The 21,930-nt window shown below is 37.5% G+C and overlaps 1 protein-coding gene across 8 annotated transcripts in view, besides 1 other annotated feature; it reads left to right on the top strand.

Annotated features, from left to right (window-relative positions):
- MIS18BP1 (MIS18 binding protein 1) overlaps nucleotides 1–21,930 on the top strand; it is a 50,013-nt gene that overhangs the window by 1,282 nt on the left and 26,801 nt on the right. For 4 of the 8 annotated variants that reach the window (XM_005267833.6, XM_047431546.1, XM_047431545.1 and 1 more), the window contains 8 exons: nucleotides 1,783–1,890; nucleotides 4,544–5,178; nucleotides 9,047–9,160; nucleotides 9,403–9,887; nucleotides 14,200–14,273; nucleotides 15,977–16,107; nucleotides 19,101–19,188; nucleotides 20,623–20,780. In XM_005267833.6, coding sequence (XP_005267890.1) covers nucleotides 4,635–5,178; nucleotides 9,047–9,160; nucleotides 9,403–9,887; nucleotides 14,200–14,273; nucleotides 15,977–16,107; nucleotides 19,101–19,188; nucleotides 20,623–20,780 — 1,594 coding nt within the window. In that variant the 5' untranslated portion in view covers nucleotides 1,783–1,890; nucleotides 4,544–4,634. Of the gene's footprint in view, nucleotides 1–1,782; nucleotides 1,891–4,543; nucleotides 5,179–9,046; nucleotides 9,161–9,402; nucleotides 9,888–14,199; nucleotides 14,274–15,976; nucleotides 16,108–19,100; nucleotides 19,189–20,622; nucleotides 20,781–21,930 lie in introns of those variants that run through there. The other 4 variants (NM_018353.5, XM_047431548.1, XM_047431547.1 and 1 more) reach the window with 2 other exon arrangements.
- Nucleotides 620–1,119: an enhancer, noted in NCBI's record as "H3K4me1 hESC enhancer chr14:45720005-45720504 (GRCh37/hg19 assembly coordinates)". NCBI's record gives its function as "activates a minimal SCP1, AML or CMV promoter by ChIP-STARR-seq in naive H9 embryonic stem cells {active_cell/tissue: H9 hESC(naive)}" and the evidence as "EXISTENCE:reporter gene assay evidence [ECO:0000049][PMID:30033119]".

Below are 21,930 nucleotides of genomic sequence, written 5' to 3'. Positions count from 1 at the left end.
AAAAACAAGTTAGAAGTGGAATTTCCGTGTCAATAGTATGCATACTTGCATTTTGAAATTAATATTTACCAATGTGATATGAAAAAGAAATCTCACTGTTTTAGTTTGCATCTCCATTTATTAGTAAAATCAGGTGTCACAACTCGTTTATTGGCCTTTTGTATTCTATTAATCACCTTTCATGTCCCATGACCATTTTCTGTTTTGTATATTTTTTAAAGTTGATTTATTAGGTCTCTTTGAATGTTATTTAAATTAGCCCTTTGTCATATGTGCTGAGTATTTTTTTCAAGTGTATCATTTGCCTGTTAACTTAAAATTCTATTTTCCCCCTAATTCTATGTCCCAGTTTTGGTTAGTGTGCTCTGGGATTTTTGACCCATTCCATAGTAATAGTTATTACTACTACCACTACAGTAAATTCTTACAAGAACTTTCCATGTTTTTTGGGAGGAGGAGGAGGAGTAGTTACATTCAGGATCATATACATAATTGTTTAGCTTCAGTTCTGTATTTATATATGTCACTTGTAACTGACTGGGATACGTTCTGAGAAATACATTCTCAGGTAATTTTTGTCATTGTGCCAATATCATAGAGTGTACTTATAAAAACCCAGGCTATATATTATAACCTATTCTGGGCTTCAAACCTGTACAGCATGTTACTTTACTGAATACTGTTGGCAGTTGTAACACAATGATAAGTATTTGTGTATCTAAACATACCAAAATATAGAAAAGGTACAGTAAAAATAAGTTTAAAAAAAAGGTACACCAAAATAATCTTATGGGACCACTGTGTATGTGGTTTGATGTCATTATGCAGTGCATGACTGTACTATAAATGCTTATGGCCAGCCCTTTTTTTTTTTTTTTTTTTTTGAGGCAGAGTCTTGATGTCTCGCCCATGCTGGAGTGCAGTGGCGCGATGTCGGCTCACTGCAAGCTCCGCCTCCCGGGTTCACTCCATTCTCCTGCCTCAGCCTCCCAAGTAGCTGGGAATACAGGCGCGTGTCACCACGCCCGGCTAATTTTTTGTATTTTTAGTAGAGACCGGTTTTCACCGTGTTAGACAGGATGGTCTCCATCTCCTGACCTCGTGATTCGCCGTCATTCGCCTCGTGATCACTTGGCCTCCCAAAGTGCTGGGATTACAGGCGTGAGCCACCGCACGCGGCCTGGCCAGCCCTTTCATCCAATGGTTTTCCCATTCCCATGTCTTTATGTTGAAAACAATTTTTTTTCCCTAGTACATCAACATTTGTCAGTTTTTAGAATAAGTTTTAAGGATTAGATTTTTCCAAACAACTTTAAGCAGTTAATGAAAACGGAAACATACTTTCTCCAGTCTGAGAGGAACTAACAATTTCTTGTTAGTGACCTCCATCTGTTAGGTCAACAAATGTGCTTGGCTTCAGGACAGGCGTTCTTTCCTCCACTTGCGGGTTGCTAGTTACTAAATCTCCACTAATGTCTGTGTTTCATCAGAGGCTGATTTCTTTGTTTAGCTGTTTTGACTAGGAAGGAAATGGAGCTTCAGATGTGTCCTGGATTATCTAGACCCAGTGGTTTTTCTTGTTTATCTATTCTGCAGAGCCTCTGTGGTCAGAGGAAATTGTAGACGATTTTTTTCTTGGCTTATATTGAGTTGCTGTTTATCACATGGTGGGAAAAAGGTCTCCTAGAGCAACTTTCTGTTTCTTTGGGAGGGGAAGTGGAATTTGAGGATTTTTTCAGAATCTTGGCTAATCACCTTTATCCTACTACTTGCCTGAATTAGGGGCAGGGACATTAGGAAACAGAAAGCTCTGTTTTGGTTCTTGGAGCCTTTCAACGTGACCACAATTATCTGACTTTAAATGAAGACAGTTCTGCATGTCCATTACAGGTTGGTTCTGTTTTCAGTGCTGCTCGCTTATTTGCATTTTTTACTTTCTGTTTAGCATTTCATTAGGCTCTGAGGAATTGAGATTGTGTAAACCTGAACATTCTTTGCCATTTTGTTTTGCAGTCTTCCAGTTTATTTTTATTATTATTATTATTTTCAGTTGGAGTCTCACTCCGTCGCCTAGGCTGGAGTGCAGTGGTGGTGCGATCTCAGCTCACTGCAACCTCCGCCTCCCAGGTTCAAGTGATTCTCCTGCCTCAGCCTCCTGAGTAGCTGGGACTACAGGCATGTGCCACCACATCCGGCTAATTTTTACATTTTTAGTAAAGACGGGGATTCACCGTGTTGGCCAGGCTGGTCTTGAACCCCTGACCTCAAGTGATTCTCCTGCCTTGGCCTCCCAAAGTGCTGGGATTATAGGCGTGAGCCACTGTGCTCAGCCGAGTTTATTCATTTTTGATTTTGAGAGATTGTATAGCTTTATTGCCTTTCTTTGAAATGAACAGCTAAGCCAGACATGGTGGCTCACTCCTGTATTCCCAACACTTGTGGGAGGCCAAATCAGAAGGATCACTTGAGCCCAGGAGTTTGAGACTAACCTGGGCAACATAGGGAAACTCTGTCTCTACAAAAAAATGTAAAAAAACATAACTCAGGTGGCTCATGCCTGTAATCCCAGCACTTTGGGAGGCTGAGGCAAGTGGATCACCTGAGGTCAGGAGACCAGCCTGACCAATATGGTGAAACCCCGTCTCTACTAAAAATACAAAAATTAGCCGGGTGGGGTGGCATGTGCCTGTGATCCCAGCTACTTGGGAAGCTAAGACAGGAGAATTGCTTGAACCCATGAGGTGGAGATTGCAGTGAGTCAAGATCGCATCACTGCACTCCAGCCTGGGCAACAGAGCAAGACTCCCTCTCAGAAACAAACAAACAAATAAGTAAAAAAAAAAAAACATAGCTGAGGTGCAGTGGCACACACTTGTGGTCCCAGCTACTCTGGAGGCTGAGGTAGGAGGATTGCTTGAGCCCAGGATTTCGAGGTTGCAGGGAGCCCTGATCACACCACTGCACTCCAGCCTGGGTGACAGAGACACTGTCTCAAAAATAAAACAGAAATGAAGTGAACGGCTAATATTATAACTTCTAATACAGAACCCCTGGAACTAGCACATCATAAACATATACATGCATGCGTTAATATGTATTTGCAGGATTCGTATGTTATGAAAGAATTATAGTGGTTTTTAGGAACTCCAGACTCCCAAGATAGCCTTCTTTGTTGGCTGTTGTAATTTAGGAATATTTTCCTTCTTTTTTTCTCTATTATCATAAATTATTGGATTAAATAATACTTTGTATATTAATTGCTTATTTCTCACAGAAGTTGCTGTAGATAAAGATACTTGATATTTTTTGGTCTGGCTATGTTAGAATTTTCTGTGATAGTTTTTTTTTATGTTTATATGATGTTAACTAATTGGAATAGTTATAAATTCAGCTATAAGAGATGCTGTAAATCTAGACTAGTAAGTTCCAGGCTCCTTGGATTGAAATGTTTTATTTATTTACCAAATATTAGTTAATGCAACTATATGGTTCCTTACCTAGAACCTTAATTTCTAGGTGTGAATAATAAAATTTATACATAAGAAACAAGTTGTGGCCGGGCGCGGTGGCTCACACCTGTAACCCCAGCACTTTGGGAGGCCAAGACAGGCAGATCACCTGAGGTCAGGAGTTTGAGACCAGCCTGACCAACATGGAGAAACCCTGTCTCTAGCAAAAATACAAAATTAGCCGGGTGTGGTGGTGCATACATAATTCCAATTCCAGCTACTCGGGAGGCTGAGGCAGGAGAATTGCTTGAACCTGGGAGGCGGAGGTTGTGGTGAGCTGAGATCACCACTGCACTCCAGCCTGGGCAACAAGAGGGAAACTCTGTCTCCAAAAAAAGAAAAAAAAAAAAAAAAAACGAAAGAAACAAGACTAAAACTACGTAAACTCAAGTACAGTATTTCTGCTAAAAATTCTAAATAGCACTACATTAAAAAAAATCAGAATGAAAACAATTTACCATTTATTTGAGGATTTTTCAACTAAGACCTTAAAATGTAAATGCTCTGGAGCATAAAAAATCAGGATTGGGTATTATTAACTAATTGAATAGTATTTTTTTAGCTTTTATTAGAATAGATCTTGTAGTTGCTGCCTTAAAATTTAACTGCCTAAAGGGAAAAATTATATTTGTGGAACTTTATCTTTTGTAACCTAATGTAGTGCCATATGCATATATCTTTTATTTTGTTTTATTTTATTTTATTTTATTTTGAGACAAGGTCTTGCTCTGTCACCCAGGCTGGAATGCAGTGGCACAATCATGACTCACTGTGGCCTTGACCTCCCAGGCTCAAGTGATCCTCCCTGCTCAGCCTCCCAAGTAGCTAGGACTACAGGCGTGTACACCATCACACCCAGCTCTTTTGTTAAGGAGACTTTAACAAAAATAAAATCTTAGTCTGATTTGTGATTATCTAGTATTGTTATGAACCAGTTAAACATTTTAATTAGTATAATGTTGTGGAAAGCAAATAAACTTTAAACATTTTCTGCACCAAAGCATGATAAAGGCTGATTTTACGTTGAACTACAGGTTTCTGTGGATCCCTTCTGAAGTTCTATCTGAAAATTGCGCTTAAGTGAATTTTCTGTTAGAAGAACTTGGTTGCTACTTTCTTGTCAAGATGATTGCAACACCTTTGAAACATTCAAGAATTTACTTACCTCCAGAGGCATCTTCTCAAAGGAGAAATCTACCCATGGATGCAATCTTTTTTGACAGCATTCCTTCAGGCACACTTACTCCTGTAAAAGATTTGGTGAAATATCAGAACTCCTCCTTAAAATTGAATGACCATAAAAAGAATCAGTTCCTAAAAATGACAACTTTTAACAATAAAAATATATTTCAATCAACTATGCTAACAGAGGCTACTACCTCTAACAGTTCTCTTGATATCAGTGCTATAAAGCCCAACAAGGATGGATTAAAAAATAAAGCAAACTATGAATCACCAGGAAAAATATTTCTAAGAATGAAAGAAAAAGTACTGCGTGACAAGCAAGAACAGCCATCAAGAAACAGTAGTTTGTTGGAACCACAGAAAAGTGGAAATAATGAAACCTTCACTCCTAACAGAGTTGAAAAAAAAAAATTGCAGCATACCTACCTATGTGAAGAAAAGGAAAACAACAAATCATTCCAGTCAGATGACAGTTCACTAAGAGGTTAGTTTTATGTGTTAGCTAAAAAGCTGTAATGTCTTAAGTGTTTAATGTTTCAGACACTGTTTTAGGTGCTCAGAATATAGCAGTGAACAAAATGGACAAAAATCCTTGCCCTTGTGTAGCTCATATTCACATGGTGGGAAGACATAATTAACATATTAAATAAGTAATTTTTATGGCTTAGTAGAAGAGGAAAAGTGGAAAGAGGAAAAAGCAGAATTAGGATGATGGGAAGAGTTGGAGGGGGATGTAATTTTCAGTGCGATGGTCAGAGTAATCTTCAGTAATTTGAATTTGGGAATTTGAGCCCACAAAATTGAATGAGATGACAGATACATGTATCTTGAGGAATGGGGAAGGATGATCTAGGCAGCTGTTATAAACGCCTTGAAATAGCATGCCTGACATGTTGAAGGACTAGCTATGAAGTTAGTGTGTCATGGAGTGAGTAGATAGAGCTCAGAAGGAAGGGATAAATAAGAGTGGGTCAGATAATATAAGGGCCTTGTAGGTAAATGTAAGAGTTTTGGCCTTTACTGTGAGCAGAATAAGCCATCGGAGGGTTTTGAGCATGTGAATGACAAGATCTGACTTATGAGGGTTTTTTTGTTGTTTTTTAGTTAACCACTGTGTACAATGACAATGTTTTTAAAATGTCACTCTGGCTGTTCTGAAATAGAGTTACTGCAGTAAGCCAGATGACAGCCGGTGTTGGCTTGGTTCAGGTGTTAGTAGTGCAGATAGTAAATGTGCAGATGGTAAATGGCTGGACTCTAGGACAGACGGAAGGAGGAATGGAGTGCGGGCTCATTAACTAAGATTTTGTTATGTTAATTTTGATAACCTCTATTAAAAATCTAAGTTTAGGTATTAGGGTGTTGGAAAAAACTAGTTGGAATTTAGAGAAGTGATCAAGGTGAGAAAAGTACATTGGGGAATCATTAGCACCTAAATGGTATTTTAAAAGCAATGAGATTAGATGAGGTCATCAAGGAGTAAGTGTAGAAAGAGAAAACATTCAAGAGCTGGGTCCTGGGGTACTCCAGCATTTGGAAGGTAGAATAAAGAGTAGAAAGGCCGGCCGGGCACGGTGGCTCATGCCCATAATCCCGTCACTTTGAGAGGCCGAGGCAAGTGGATCACCTGAGGTCGGGGGTTCAAGACCAGCCTGACCAATGTGGAGAAACCCCATCTGTACTAAAAATACAAAATTAGCTGGGCTTGATGGCGCATGCTTGTAATCCCAGCTACTCGGGAGGCTAAGGCAGGAGAATTGCTTGAACCCGGGAGGCAGAGGTTGTGGTGAGCTGAGATCACGCCATTGCACTCCAGCCTGGGCAACAAGAGCAAAACTCCATCTCAAAAAAAAAAGAAATAAAAAAGAAAAGAGTAGAAAGGCCACTGAGAAGATTGTGAGGAAGAAGAAAAACCAGGAGAGTGATACTGTGAAAGCCAAGAGAATGAAGTACTTTAAGGTGGGAGTTGACAGCTGTCTAATGCTCCTAATTGGTCAAGTAGGCTGAGATTCTACTGCTCGTTTTAGCAATGTGAAGGTCATTGGTGACTTTGATGGAGGGCAGCTTTGGTGGAATGGTAGCAACGAAAACATTGCGTGAAAGGGTTCAAGAGATAATGTGACAAGAGGAATTGGCAATAGTGAACATAGACAGCTCTTTTTGAGGCTGGCAAAGAAATAATGGCAATTGTAGTTTAAAGTTTTATCATTTTTAATACTTGGTGAAATACAGCATTTTTATATGCTGTTGGGAATAATGGAGTAGGAAGAAAAAAAATTGAAGTTGCTAGTATGATGCCCTTCAGTAGTTGAGAGGAAATATAATCTAATGCATCATTAGCGGTTTGACCAGAACACAGACAGACCAATTGTTAACTGAAAAGAAAGCCGTTTACACAGATGTTGGTGGATTATTATTTTATGACTTCACAAATAATTTGAAATAAGTAAAGTCATCAGCTGAGCAATATGGAAAACAGGTATTGAAGTTTGAGGAGGTAGAGATTTGAATAGTTTGGGAGAGGCCTAAATTTGATTTCCTGGGTAACACAGAAGAGCTGTTTAAGATTTGTGAACATGAATTTAAAATGGAACCAGTAAATATGGCTGTGAGTTTTCCTTTAGCCCTGTTTTGCTGCTAAGATGCTGGTGTAGAATTGGGGGGAGTTGGATTTAACTGGGTTGTAATTTTGCCAAATAGAATGAAGTGACAGAAGGACAAAGGAGGGTGTGTGTGAAGGAGTCATAATGAAATTTAAGCTGATTAATGAGGGCAAAGGATCTGAAGGAGATGAGGGATTGTGAAGTGTATATTTTATTTGGATAGTCACTGGATTTGAGAGAATGATCTGGAAAGATGACACTACAACAATTAAAATTGAGATTTTAATGAGTTTCAGTCACTGATAATGAAAGATATTTTACATGTATTATCTCTTTTAATCCTTTCAACGAACACATGGGTAGATGCCCATTAGTGGTCTATAAATGGGGATTGTAAAGAGTGTAAGTCCGCTTGCTCTATGTCTCATAGGTAGCAAGTAATAAGCTGATAACTGAATATAGGTATCTGTTAGAAAGCCCATGTTCTTAACCACTACACAGTAGGTTGTGGGTATATTGTTGCATTTCCAAGACAGTGACATATTCTAACACAGAGTTTTCTAAGGGAGTTTGGGGGTAGAAGTGGGGAGACTCACAAAGTCATCTATTTCTCATATAGCCTGGGAGAAAAGGAAGAAGCAAATGAAATAATACATATTAAAGTTTTTAAATATAATAAGGTAGCATTTGAGAGTAAGAAATACCTGACCATTTTGAGAATCTGGTGACCCTTTCCCCCAGAAAATATAAACACAAATAGAAACACAAATTTTGTATATACTTTTAGAAACCTTTTAGAGAGTCTACATGAACCTGGGACTCCCACATAAGTGAATAAATATAACTTATTGCATTTGATTGAATTACTACTGAATTGCCTTGCCATTTCTTGTAGAATGAGTTAAAGATATAGAAACTTATTGTTTCTTTTTGTGACACGTTGTTATAATGAAATCTTTATCTTAAGATTTCTGAGACCAAAGTGGCATACTTATTAAAGCATAGTCACTACCAGTTTTTTCAAGTATAAAATTTAAAATTAAACATATAAGATAATTCTTCTCAGGCTCAAATTTTAAGTCTATTATCATCCCCTTTTTGTGTGAAAGAAACTACATTCGAGAAACATTAAACTTTAAAAATCTAGGAGGTAAAGCAGAATAAGATGCAAGCAGTGCTATTAGTCCTTATTTATCTAGTTGAGAAACCTACAACTTCTGAGCATTTGAAGGCCTACTAAAAATTGTCTAAAGGATATAAATTATGGCTGAGTCTGCTGTTGCATCTCAACATTTTAATTTTTAAAGAATAAGTTACAATTCTTCGACTATCTTTCATGCTTTAGAAATTCACAGCAACCAGAAACAGAATCGGAATTTTCAAGACTGGGTGAAACTTTATATTGTAATCTTAACATATACATATCCAATTTGTGGCAGCACCAGAATTTCAGATCTCTAGGTTTCTAAGTCCAATACTTTTGTCTAGAGCTGGCGGGTTGTGTTCAGAGAAGGTTTTAAAAAATTCTTCCTCACCGTAATGTTGGTATAGAGAATGGGGTAAAGGTATGAGAAGATAATACAGCCAAAAATATAAAAATATATGTAACTGTCATATATTGCAAAAGTACTATACTGGTCTGATCATTACTAAATCTAAGTGTCTTTATTTCAAGAATTTTAAAAGCTGTTTTTTTCTTAGTGACTAATACAATTCAACTTCTTCTTTCTTTAAAAAATAAAACCTTAGCCTCAGTCCAAGGAGTTCCTCTAGAATCATCAAATAATGATATTTTCCTCCCGGTCAAACAAAAGATTCAGTGCCAGCAGGAAAAGAAAGCACCACTGCACAATTTAACTTACGGTAAACTATTTTTGGTTTGTTTTCAGTTTGTTACTTAAGTATATTGTTAAATGTTCTAGGTAATTACTTTCCTTGTGTGGGCATTAAACTTTAGCTGTGGACAAAAGCTTGAATCGTAAAAGAGACACTCAGAGAAAGACTGGGCAGGAGGGTGGAACGTTCCTAACCTAAATTTATCTCTTTTAATTTCCTGTGATCCTTCTATAATTGTTTTGTTTTGTTTTGTTTTGTATTTTTTGCAGAACTTCCAACTCTGAACCAAGAACAGGAAAATTTTTTGGCTGTAGAAGCCCGAAACAAGACATTAACTAGAGCTCAGTTGGCTAAACAAATTTTTCACTCAAAGGAGAGTATAGTTGCAACCACTAAATCCAAAAAGGACACGTTTGTTTTAGAAAGCGTTGATTCTGCTGATGAACAATTTCAAAATACTAATGCTGAGACTCTCAGTACTAATTGTATTCCTATTAAAAATGGCAGCCTGTTAATGGTTTCTGATAGTGAGAGGACAACAGAAGGGACTTCGCAACAGAAAGTTAAGGAAGGAAATGGAAAAACAGTGCCTGGAGAGACAGGTCTTCCAGGTTCCATGAAAGATACATGTAAAATTGTACTTGCAACACCAAGACTTCATATAACAATACCTCGGAGGTCAAAAAGAAATATTTCAAAGCTTTCTCCTCCAAGAATATTTCAAACTGTTACAAATGGACTTAAAAAAAATCAGGTGGGAAAACTTTTAAGACAGATATTTATTTCTATTTTTACCCCGTTCTTCAAGAGCTTGAGCTTTTAATGTTCTCTCATTATTTTTTTTCTAGCTAGGATTTGAACCTGTATGCTTCATTATTAACAGTGTCTTCATTATCATGTTTTATTATTTACTGCAGTGACAGTGTGACATAGTGAAAAGAACAGTGAGTTGAATGTAAGAAGACCCACATGTTAAGTCTTATTTTGCTCTATTACTAGTTGTGTAGTCTTCAATAATTTACTTGTTCCTTTTGGTGATGAACATTGAATTCATTCCTACTCTTTTTTTTCTGATACTTACAGTACTATTAAAATAGTTAGATTAATTAAGATAGAAAGGAACTGTAGCATCTGAAGATTTGAGAATTTTTCCCAAATTAAATACAGAGTAATCAATGAAAGACTTTAGAGCATTAAACTGTTACATTAGGACAAATTCTCTGAAGGAAGTGGAATGGAAATACAAGCTTAAGGAGGAAGATGCAGTGTAAAATTTCCAATTGTTAGAGGTTTGCCCATTAATTAATTAATTATTTTTGAGCTGGAGTCTTCCTCTGTCACCCAGGCTGGAGCACAATGGCGTGGTCTTGGCTCACTGCAACCTCCACTTCCTGGGTTCAAGCGATTCTCCTACTTCACCCTCCTGAGTAGCTGGGATTACAGGCGCCTGCCACCATGCCCAGCTAATTTTTGTGTTTTTAGTAGAGACGGGGTTTTACCGTGCTGGCCAAGCTGGTCTCTGACTCCTGACCTCAAGTGATCCTCCCGCCTCGGCCTCCCAAAGTGCCGGGATTAGAGGCGTGAGCCACTGCATCCAGCCATTAATTCTTAAATGTATGATGGTGGTTATCAAGTTGAGATCATGTATAAATTCCATCTAAATTTTAATTAATAATTAATTTTTTAAATGAGGCCTTACTCTGTTGCCCAGGCCAGCCTTTTGGGCTCAAGCAATCCTCCCACTTAAGCCTCCCTTGTAGCCATCTAAATTTTAAAGAGTGACATACCAGTTATGGTTTTATATCTCAATATATTCGCTAGAAATCCCATTATTGGAAAATATTTAAACTTTATTTATTTATCTATCTATTTATTTATTTATTTTGGAGACAGAGTCTCACTCTGTCACCCAGGCTGGAGTGCAGTGGCACAATCTCAGCTCATTGCAACCTCCGCCTTCCAGGTTCATGCAAATCTCCTGCCTCAGCCTCCTGAGTGGCTGGGACTACAGGCACATGCTGCCATGCCCGGCTAAATTTTTTTTTTTTTGGATTATTCTCATTAACATATAAACATGTTGAAACATGGCCTGCATTTTTTAAAAACATGCAAACAAAGGCCCATCTTTCCTTTATCCCCTGTCCAACTCCAGCTGCTACACTACTTTTTGTTTCCCTTATATAGCAAGACATTTGAAAGAGGTCTGTGTATTCATGGTTGGAGTTGAGAAGAATATTCTGTGCTGGAAACATATTGGAGAGCTATCAGCATAGAGATGGAATTTAAAACTATGACACTGGAAATACAGCCTAGAGAGTGCGTGTAGGTAGGGAGAAAATTGAGGGGGCAATTGAAAGGGCAATGTCCTTACCACCTAAAGTAAAAGGAAATGATTACAGGTGTGAGCCACCACGCCTGGCCCCAAAATGTCTTTCTAAAGAAGTGTTACGCTTTATATTTTGTATTCCAGGATCGTTCCTGATTTTCTGCTACATTGCTGCCCATCCCTTCTCAGTCCTCTTTGCTATTTCCTCTTTCTTTCCCCAGAATCAGTCCTAAAAATGTTGGAATTACTGCAGATCAGCCCTAGAAATTGTTTTTCTACCTACACGCACTCTCTAGGCTGTATTTCCAGTGTCATAGTTTTAAATTCCATCTCTATGCTGATAGCTCTCCAATATGTTTCCAGCACAGAAAATTCTTCTCAACTCCACACTCATGTGCAGTTGTCTATATGACTTTTCTATTGATATCAGATAGGCATCTCAAATTGAAAATGTGAGAAAATGTGAGATTCTTATTCTTGATTTCTTTACCATACCTTCTCCATTGTCCTGTATTAGTACATTGTAATACCATTGGCCCCAGTATTTAGGCAAAATTTTAGATTCATCTTGGACTCTTGTTTCTCTCTCATGCTCCACATCCAAACCATGAAGAAATCCCATTGGCTCTACTCTCCTGAATGCGGCCTCTTCTCACTGTTCAACCACTACCTCCTAGTCCAGGGATGACTGTCATAGCCTAGTGGTCTCCCTGCTTCCAGTATTGCTTTTCTCCTTTTTCAGTCTGTTTTCCAGACAAGCTAAAATCTTCATATAGTCTCATCTCTACCCAACAGTCCCTTAAAATATCAAATTTTGTCGTTCTGTTCAGAATCCCCAGTAACTTGTCATCTCAATAGAAAACACTAAGCCTTTACCATGGTTTACCGAGCTGTACTTAGTTAATCCTGGAGATCTCCAACCTCACCACTTATTCCCTCTCACTTACTCCTTTCAAATTATGCCTTCCATGCTGCCTACCTGGATCTCTGCGCTGACTCTCTGTGCTTAGAAGAATCTTTTTGCTGATATCCATGTGACTCATTGCTCACTTTATTCAGTTCTCTCTTCCAAGACGTTCCCTGACTGTTTTGTCTTAAAAAGCACCTCATTTATCTAATGCCTTTTATTTATTTTTCATAGTAATTACCACCACCTGACATTTTCATATTGGTTTAGATGCCATTATCCTGCTTGCCTCCACCCCCAACCCTAACACACACACAAGAATGTTGGCCCTAAGAGGGGCAGCTGTTTACTTTCTCACTCAATCTCCACTATCTAAAACAGTGTGTAGAACTCAACAAATATTTGTTGAATGAATAATGAATGAACATTTTGATATCTTATATAAGCAGTATAATAGTATGGTACAGGATTATTATCTCCATCTGACTGGTGCGTTGATATATCTCAGGTAGTTCCAAATGTGGGAGAAGGCAAAAAGAGAGTATTATTTACTGTTACTTCCCCAAGTCCTACCTATAATTTTTTACTTTTTTCAGAAAGAAACATTTAAAAGGGGCTTAAAAACAGAAGCCATATTTGTGTCTTGGGTGAGGGTAAGACAAGATGGTGGATCCCCTCGCCATTACTACTGAGACCCATGGCTTATAAACTATCCTACTTATAATTTTTTATTTTTATGTATTTACTTTTTGAGACAGAGTCTTGTTCCATCACCTGTTGAGGCTCACTGAAGCCTCGACCTCCCAAGCTCAAGTGATCCTCCCACCTCTGCCTCTCCAGTAGCTGGGACTACAGGTGTGTACCACCACACCCAGCTAATTTTTAAACTTTTTTTTGGAATCTTACTATGTTGCCCAGGCTGGTCTTGAACTCCTAGGCTCAAACAGTTCTCCCGACTTGGCCTCCCAAAGTTCTGGGATTACAGGTTTAAGCAACTGTCCTCAGCCATCACCTATAATTTTTTAAATGAACATAATCAACATGTGCCATAACAAAGACTGTCCCATTTTAATGTCTTTTCCTGACTCAGTATAAAACTACCACTGGAGAATTTGTTTTTATTTGTAAATGTGTAACTTTACATATAAAGTAAATTGCCACTCAAATTATTCCATAAATTTTGACTTTTTTTCTCATCAGAAGTAGTTCAATCTTAAATTTTATGAAATTTATATTCAAGAATTTCTTTGCATAGATTGTCATAAAATGTTTTCCATTAGAATGATATTTTACTTGTAGTAAGATAATAAAGAGTTCTCTGAGCTATTCAGATGTTTACTTTGGAATAAAATACTGTTAAATCTAGATTACCAGCAGTTACCTTTTTAGTTTGTAGAAAATTGGAATACAGGTCTAAACTTTACAAAAAAAAAAAAAAACTCTTAATTTTTTAAGGACAAAACATAGCTAACTCCTTTTCACTCCAAGTTACTGGGCTTTTTGCAGGACTTGGTGTTTTAATCTGTACCTTGGGATTTTACATGATTTTTGTCCCCACCAGTTGAGATTTGGTGATAGAGTATTTGAAGTATAATTGCTTCTTGATTGTAGAACAAATGCAATACAACCTGAATTCAGTCTTTTCTTTTCTGTTTCATTGTATACAAGAATTTTACCTATTGCTATTTAGAATAGAATGTGAATCTTACATCGATGACACTAAGGAATATTTGGATTACTTAGACAAGTTTTTTCTTTTAATGTAAGTTAATTTTGTAATGCTTGTGCTGCAAGTAATACAGGAAATATGTTCTTTGTTTTATACTTGATTAGGTAGTTCAGCTACAGGAATGGATGATTAAAAGCATCAATAATAATACTGCTATATGTGTAGAAGGAAAATTGATGTAAGTATACTATTTCATTATTCTTTTAATAAAACTTTAGTTATGTGTAAGCACTTAAGAGTTAATGCATGAGAAATAGCATCCTCCACAAAGCAAAGACCTAACAAGGTTATGAACTGAAGGCAAAAAAGTAAAATTACTGTGCAGGTCCTAGCCATGTTGATTGCTACCAGCTTTCTTGTTTTTGCATGTTTACTCAAGTTTTTCTTAAAATAATGACAGTTCAAATTTGTATAGTGGTTTATTTTTTTCTGAGGTGCTAATAAGTGGACTGGTATTATCTGCTTAATTATATATGATCAGTTAATATTTACTACATGCATTTCAGTCCAGATTCTCACATCTAAATTGGGACAACCAGATATAAATTACTGATCCAGAAAAGGAATCAAAATTACTTAAAACTTTGCCATACGGCTACATATTAAGTAATCATTGGCACTTTCTGGTTCTCCCTAAAGTGAGAGCATCACCAGGTAAGTGGGCTTTACCTAATTCTGCTACTCTATTAGCACCATTTCCTATTCTTCAAGACCAGTTTCTTAGTGCTACAAATATTTGTAATAAAAGGTTATAACTGTTCTCCAGCCTGGGTGACAGAGCGAGACTCTGTCTCAAAAAAAAAAAAAAAAAAAGTTATAACTGTTTAAGGTACTCATATGTAAGTTTATAAGTGAATGTGTAAAATCTGTATTGTCCATTCTTTATCTGTCTGCTTTATGCCCATTTCCTTACTATTAAAGATGCAGTGTAGATTGCCTTTGTTGGAATTCCATTGCTGCTGCCTACTATCTGTATTACCTGGACAAGTTATTTATCCCCTGTCAGTCTCAGTTTCTTCATTTGTGCAATATGGATAATGGTATTACTTACCTAGTTAGTTGTGCTGAGGATTAAATGAAAGGCTAGAGAACAGTGCTTTTTGAGTGTTATTTAAAAGTTTCTTAAATAAGTAAATAAAGCAAAAGAGAATTGAAGAGAAGTAATACTGTATTAAGGTATAATGTGTGAGTTTAATCCCAGTTGACCAAAGAAAAGTAACTTGATTTCCTTATTCGTCATGCTTATCATCAGTATGTTTATTATTATTAGTTATCTGATGAATGGGACAGTGTTCATCATTTATCTAATACATCTTCATATTTTTTTCTATTTCATATTCTTTAAAGAAATATAAAGAATAGATTTATGGGTCAGTGATTTGATACAGTAATTTCTTTTTTCCCCACTTAAACCTCATTTGGTACCTTCCAAAATGAAAGGTAAAAACATTTGGCTGTATAGCCAGGGTGAAAAAACACCAGATTAGCTGGATCCAATCTACTTTCTGCATAAAAGCTAACACAGTATAGACCCTGAAGGAGAGGAACAGGGAGATCATTCTTTGGAAGCTTAGCATCAGTTAAGCTGAAGCTGCAAGTATTTATTGCCAGCATCAGATACTGAGACAAGGCCTCTGCTCCCTTACTAATAATATTTTGTAGGAGGGACATGGTTTGGCCACAGTATAGTTTTTTTGGTACATAATCTGAGGATTACAATAGCCAAGCAGTTGAGTTCTGCTGTAATGTTTGGCCTTCAAATATTTTGTAATTAGACTAATAACATTCTTAGTGTTGCTGTAGCTAAAGTGTAAAATTATTTTCTGTTAGAAATTTCTATATGAATATTTTGACCTTACCAAAACTATTTTTTTTTCCTAGAGACGTCACTAACATATATTGGCACAGTAATGTAATTATAGAGCGGATTGAGCACAACAAACTTAGGACTATATCAGGCAACGTTTATATATTAAAAGGCATGATAGACCAAATTTCCATGAAAGAAGCAGGTAAATGACTGTCATTATTGATAAGTTATTTTAAGAAGTAAAGCAGTTAACCATGTTTCTCACAGTAATACACATTTTTTTAACTTTTAATTAGGTATTTTTAAATTATGAATAAATCAAAACAACTGATATTATATAAAACTGGTAATTTTTTTTCTGATTTTTATCACTCTTATTGACAATTTCTAATAAGTTATGTGTTTTTGTTTTTTTTTTTTTTTTTGGAAATGGAGTCTTGCTCTGTCACCCAGGCTGGAGTGCAGTGGCACGATCTCGGCTCACTGCAACCTCCATCTCCGGGGTTCAAGTGATTGTCCTGCCTCAGCCTCCTGAGTAGCCGGGACTAAGGTGCCTGCCACCACACCCAACTAATTTTTGTATTTTTAGTAGAGACGGGGTTTCACCAGGCTGGTCCTGTGCATGACCACTTCCAACATGGCACAAAAAAATGATGCAATAGCAACTGCAGGTAGCTGTGGATAAATAAGCCTGGAACAACATCGTGGTTTCCTGTGGCCAGTCCTTTTCATGCACAGGATCCACATATGCCCCCAGGGAATGGATACAGAAGTGTTAAGAGGCTTGGGGTTGTTTTTTTTTTTTTTTGGAGATGGAGTCTTGCTCTGTTGCCCAGGCTGGAGTGTAGTGGCGTGATCTCAGCTCACTGCAACCTCCACCTCCTAAGTTCAAGCGATTATTCATGCCTCAGCCTCCCGAGTAGCTGGGACTACAGGAGTGTGCCACAGTGCACAGCTGATTTTTGAGACAGGGTGTCACCATGTTGGCCAGGCTGGTCTTGAACTTGTGACCTCATGTGATCTGCCCACCTCAGCCTCCCAAAGTGTTGGGATTACTGGCATGAGCCACTGTGCCCAGCCTAATTTGTGTGAGTTTTAAAATATCAAATGAAATACTCCTTATTTACAAGGAATTATGTTATAAGAATATCATTTAACTCCCTGATTCCTCTCTTTGTTGAACCCACCTGGCACCACCCCAGTCCTGGTGTAACCTAATTTTCCACCTATGCCTTGCACACAGCTGAATATAACTGGAGAAAAACACATCCAAGTAGTCTAAATTTATGTTTACTAGCAACAAGTTACAGTCCCTTAGTGGTTTCTTGGTGCTGCTTGGTATCCTACCATATTTCCCTAATTCATTCACTCTCCCAACCTTCCTGATGACTCCTTCATATTTTGACAAATCTCCAATACCTCCTCCTTTTTACCCTCTCTCAGATGGGCAAAGTAGGGGAGAGGGCAGAGCACCTGAGCAAGAGGAACAATCAGGATATTTCTTTACCACATCTACTCACCTGCTTGGATTAACACCTGCTTTTATTATGGATGAACTAGCACGTTACTGTCTATGTCAGCCTCTCCATTTGTACACTAGCTCTCATTTTCTCTTTTACTCAAGGATGTTATTCCAGTAACACTCCCTTCTCCTTTTTTTTTTTATTTCTCTTTTAACCACATTTCTCCTTTTAGCCAGTATTGCTCTCATTTATAGCAAAACAATTCATATAGTTTGTTTACATTTACTTCTGTAAATCTAATTTCTCTTGAATTTTCTTTTTTTTTTTCTTGAATTCTCTTTAACCTCCAGTTCTTCACCAAAACAACCTGTATCAAAGTCACCAGTGGCCTCCACATTGCTACATTCAGTATACACTTTGAACAGAGTTAATCATACTTACCTTTTTGAAATACTTTACTTAGCTTCTCTAATACCATATTCCAATTTTTATGCTGCCTGACTGCCTCTTCCTTCTTAGTTTCTTTGTGTATTTCTCCATTTTTTCTAATAATGGGGTAGCTTGGGGCTCTTTCTTTTAATACACTGCGTGGTATGCTGATTCCTTTTAGTCATTAAATATAATTTATATGATGATGAATGCCAATTTTATATCTCAAACCAAGACCTCTCCCCTTAGTACCCAATTCATTTTCCACCTGCTTATTTGACATCTCCACTAGGATGTCTGTAGGCATTTCAAACTTAATAAATCTAAAACCTGATCTTCTCCCTTAAATTTGCTTAACCTATATTCTTCCCCATCTTTCCATGTGTCCAGTAGCCAGAATTCTTGGAGGCATCCTTAAATTCTCAGTTTCTCTCATACCCACATCAGTGTGTGTGTGTCAGTACATCCTATTAATATATCTCCAAAATATATCCCAAACTCAGACCTCTGCAGCATCACTGTAGTCCAGACTTTCCTCATAATTTGTTTGTATCATTACAGTGGCCTCCTAACTGGTCTCATTCTTTCTTCCCTTGCTCTTCCACAGGTTCTTCTCAAAATAGCAGTTTGCTTTAGCAGTCCAGTTAAAGTAAATTAGATCCTGTAGCTCCTCTGCTTGGAATCTTTCCATAGCTTCTCATCTTGTCCAAAGTAAATGGTCAGTTCTATAAAATGACTCTAAGGCCTTATATTATAATCTCTCATGCTTCCTACTGCCTCTGTTACCCATCTGAGTGGCCTCCCAAGTTCTAACCCCCTCCTCATGCCACTTCAAGTATACTGGACTCCTAATTGTTTCAAACAGGCCAGGTATACTCTTGCCTTTCCCTTTATGTTTTGTTTCCAGTATTCTAACCCAATATTGCCACATAGCTCAATCACTTTGTTCAAATGATGCTATTTCATTGAAGACTTCCCTGATTATCCTTTTTTAAATTGCTGTTCACCCCTTTACTCCCCCATGGACATATCGATACACCTGTCCACCGTCCCTGCATAGCCATCTAACAAACAAGATATTGTACTTATTGGTTAGCTACTTTTTTCCACATTAGAAGCCAAGTTCCATGAGGATAGGAGTTTTTGTCTGCTTTGTTTACTGCCGAATTCTGAATATCTATAATAGTACCTGGCACATATTAAGCAATAGGTGCATATTTCTTGAATGATGTAATGAATTAATGATATCTGTTTAAAATTCTAGGCTTTTAAATACTTTTTGTTGTTGTTTATCCTTAAATAGGATATCCAAATTATCTCATAAGGAAATTTATGTTTGGATTTCCAGAAAATTGGAAAGAGCACATTGATAATTTTCTGGAACAATTAAGGTAAAATGTTGTTTTATGTTTTTAGAAGTCAACTTTATTGAGATATAATTTACATTTAATTATGTGTGTGCCACCATGTCCAGCTAATTTTTGTATTTTTAATAGAGATGGGGTTTCGTCATGTTGGCCAGACTGGTCTCGAACTCCTGGCTACAAGTGATCCGCCTGTCTCAGCCTCCCAAAGTGTTGGGATTACAGGCATGAGCCACTGTGCCTGGCCTGAGGTACAATTTACATTTAATTAAGTGCACCTGTTTTAGGTATTTGTTTGAAATGCCAGTTTTTTTGTTGTTGTTTTTTTTTTTTTTTTTTTTTTGAGATGGAATCTGGCTCTGTCGCCCAGGCTGGAGTGCAGTGGCGCGATCTCAGCTCATTGCAAGCTCCGCCTCTGGGGTTCACGCCATTCTCCTGCCTCAGCCTCCCGAGTAGCTGGGACTACAGGCGCCCGCCACCACACCTGGCTAATTTTTTTGTATTTTTAGTAGAGACAGGGTTTCACCATGTTAGCCAGGATGGTCTCGATCTCCTGACCTCCTGATCCACCCACCTTGGCCTCCCAAAGTGCTGGGATTATAGGCGTGAGACACCGCGCCCGCCTGAAATGCCAGTTTTGGAGTTTGCTTTGGTCTGTGAAGCATTTCAGAAGCAATAACATTTTACTAGAACTTCTGTTGTATTTAGTAAATCTCAAAGGAAAATAAAACTTTTGACATATGTCAAAGAGTAATTCTAATCATTTACCCTTCAGAAGGCATGCAGTTATTAAATACTAATGTGCAGTTCTTCCTCCTTTTTTTTTCATTCATTTTCTCAGTAGTTATGGAGTGTCTGCTACTTTACAGACACTATAGTTGATGCTGGTGAAAGACAGAAGAATTTGATTTATTCTTGCCCTTGTGGAGCTCATAGGGGATACGGACTTTAAACTTAATCACAGCACAAATATAATAACTGGTAACGGGGGCTGGCAGTTTTTTTCTGTAAAGGGCATATTCTGTAAAGATAATATTCTTGCAGGCATATTGCCCCTATTGCAGCTATTCAACTCTGCCTTTGTAGCAGAAGAGCAGCCGTAGATAATATATACATGAATTAGCATGGCAGTGTTTTAATAAACTTCATTTACAAAAACAGGCAACTGGCAGTTGTCCTGTAGTTTTCCTATAATATCAGTTTAAGTAGGAATTATAAGAGCATATAGTAGGAAGCAGTTTGGAGATCATATTTGAGTCCTCTGACTTAAGATGTTACACCTCAGTTCTTTGTGAAGGAAGGGAGTGAAAGCCATGAAGGATTAATAATGTAAGATTAAAGATACCCTGCCTGGGTGGAAAGAGCTTTATGTGAGGGGTTTTTATTTATTTATGAAGATTTTTTTTGTTTTGTTTTTTTGAGAATCAGTATTAAGGAAAAATAAAATAATTGTTTTTAAAGGGCTGGTGAAAAGAACAGGGAAAAGACCAAACAAAAACAGAAAACTGGAAGATCTGTCCGTGACATAAGGAAATCAATGAAAAATGATGCACGAGAAAACCAAACAGATACTGCTCAAAGAGCCACCACCACTTACGATTTTGATTGTGATAATTTGGGTATGTTTTGTCTTTACTTCTCTGTTGGTACAGTGGTTAAGTTCTTACATGGTCTACATTGTTTATGGTTTATAATGTGTATAGTAGTAATGTGTATAGTATAGTATTCTTTGACTTATACTGCCCCCACATTCCTGCTTCTTCACTACTATATGAGAAGTAACTATAATACAGATTAATCATGGTCAGGATTCAGCTTGCTTCATCAAATACCACCTTTGCCTGGGCCCAGTGACTTATGCCTGTAATCCCAGCACTTTGGGAGGCTGAAGCGCAAGGATCGCTTGAGCTCAAGAGTTTGAGACCAGCCTGGATAACATGACGAGACCCTGTCTCTACTAAAAGTCAAAAAAATTAGCCACACATGGTAGTGCATGCTTGTGTTCCCATCTTCTTGAGAGGCTAAGGTGGGAGGATCGCTTGAGCTCAGATGGTTGAGGCTGTAATGAACCATGTTTGTGCTACAACACTCCAGTTTGGGCATCAGAGTGAGGCACTGTCTCAAAAAATAATAATAATAATAATTACCTTTTTATTAATCAGAATACCAAAGAACACTGGTAAACAAATTAATGAAAGATGATTGTTCTTTTAATTTCCTTGACCCAAAGTATTTAAGCTGCCAACCTACCGCAAACCTGTTGTAAAGACATATATTATTTTTGTACTAAATTTCATTCCTACGGATAGGCAAAATCTGTTTCCTTTCATGGAAGAAATGGAATTCAAGAAAATGCTTTTCTTGAATGACCATTGCTGTAACGACAGATTGCAGAACTGTTCTTTTTTTCCTCTCTCTTTTTTAATAAGGAGACCAACTTGCCAGAGCAGAACTGTTCTGTATCAGCTCTTTGCCAACACTATAATCTGCTTCACTTGTATAAAAATGTATGAACATTAACTTACAGCTCTTTCTAAACAATATAGATGAGTAAAAGTTACTAAAATATGTTGTAAACATTTCTGCTGATTTTGCCTTAAACTTGTAACTAAGAGCTTTACAGAACTTCCAAAACTTGAAAGAGTTCAGGAATCCTTCTGCCAAAAACATAGCACCATACTGGATATAAATGTACCTGTATCCTATTCTAACCACTCCCCAACCCGCATTTGAACTTCCACCCTTGAAACTTTGCTTATCCTTTCTAAT

This window comes from Homo sapiens, chromosome 14, assembly GCF_000001405.40.
Source record: "Homo sapiens chromosome 14, GRCh38.p14 Primary Assembly".
In the NCBI taxonomy this organism is placed as follows: domain Eukaryota; kingdom Metazoa; phylum Chordata; class Mammalia; order Primates; family Hominidae; genus Homo; species Homo sapiens.
This window is presented reverse-complemented; position numbering and strand designations above follow the sequence as displayed.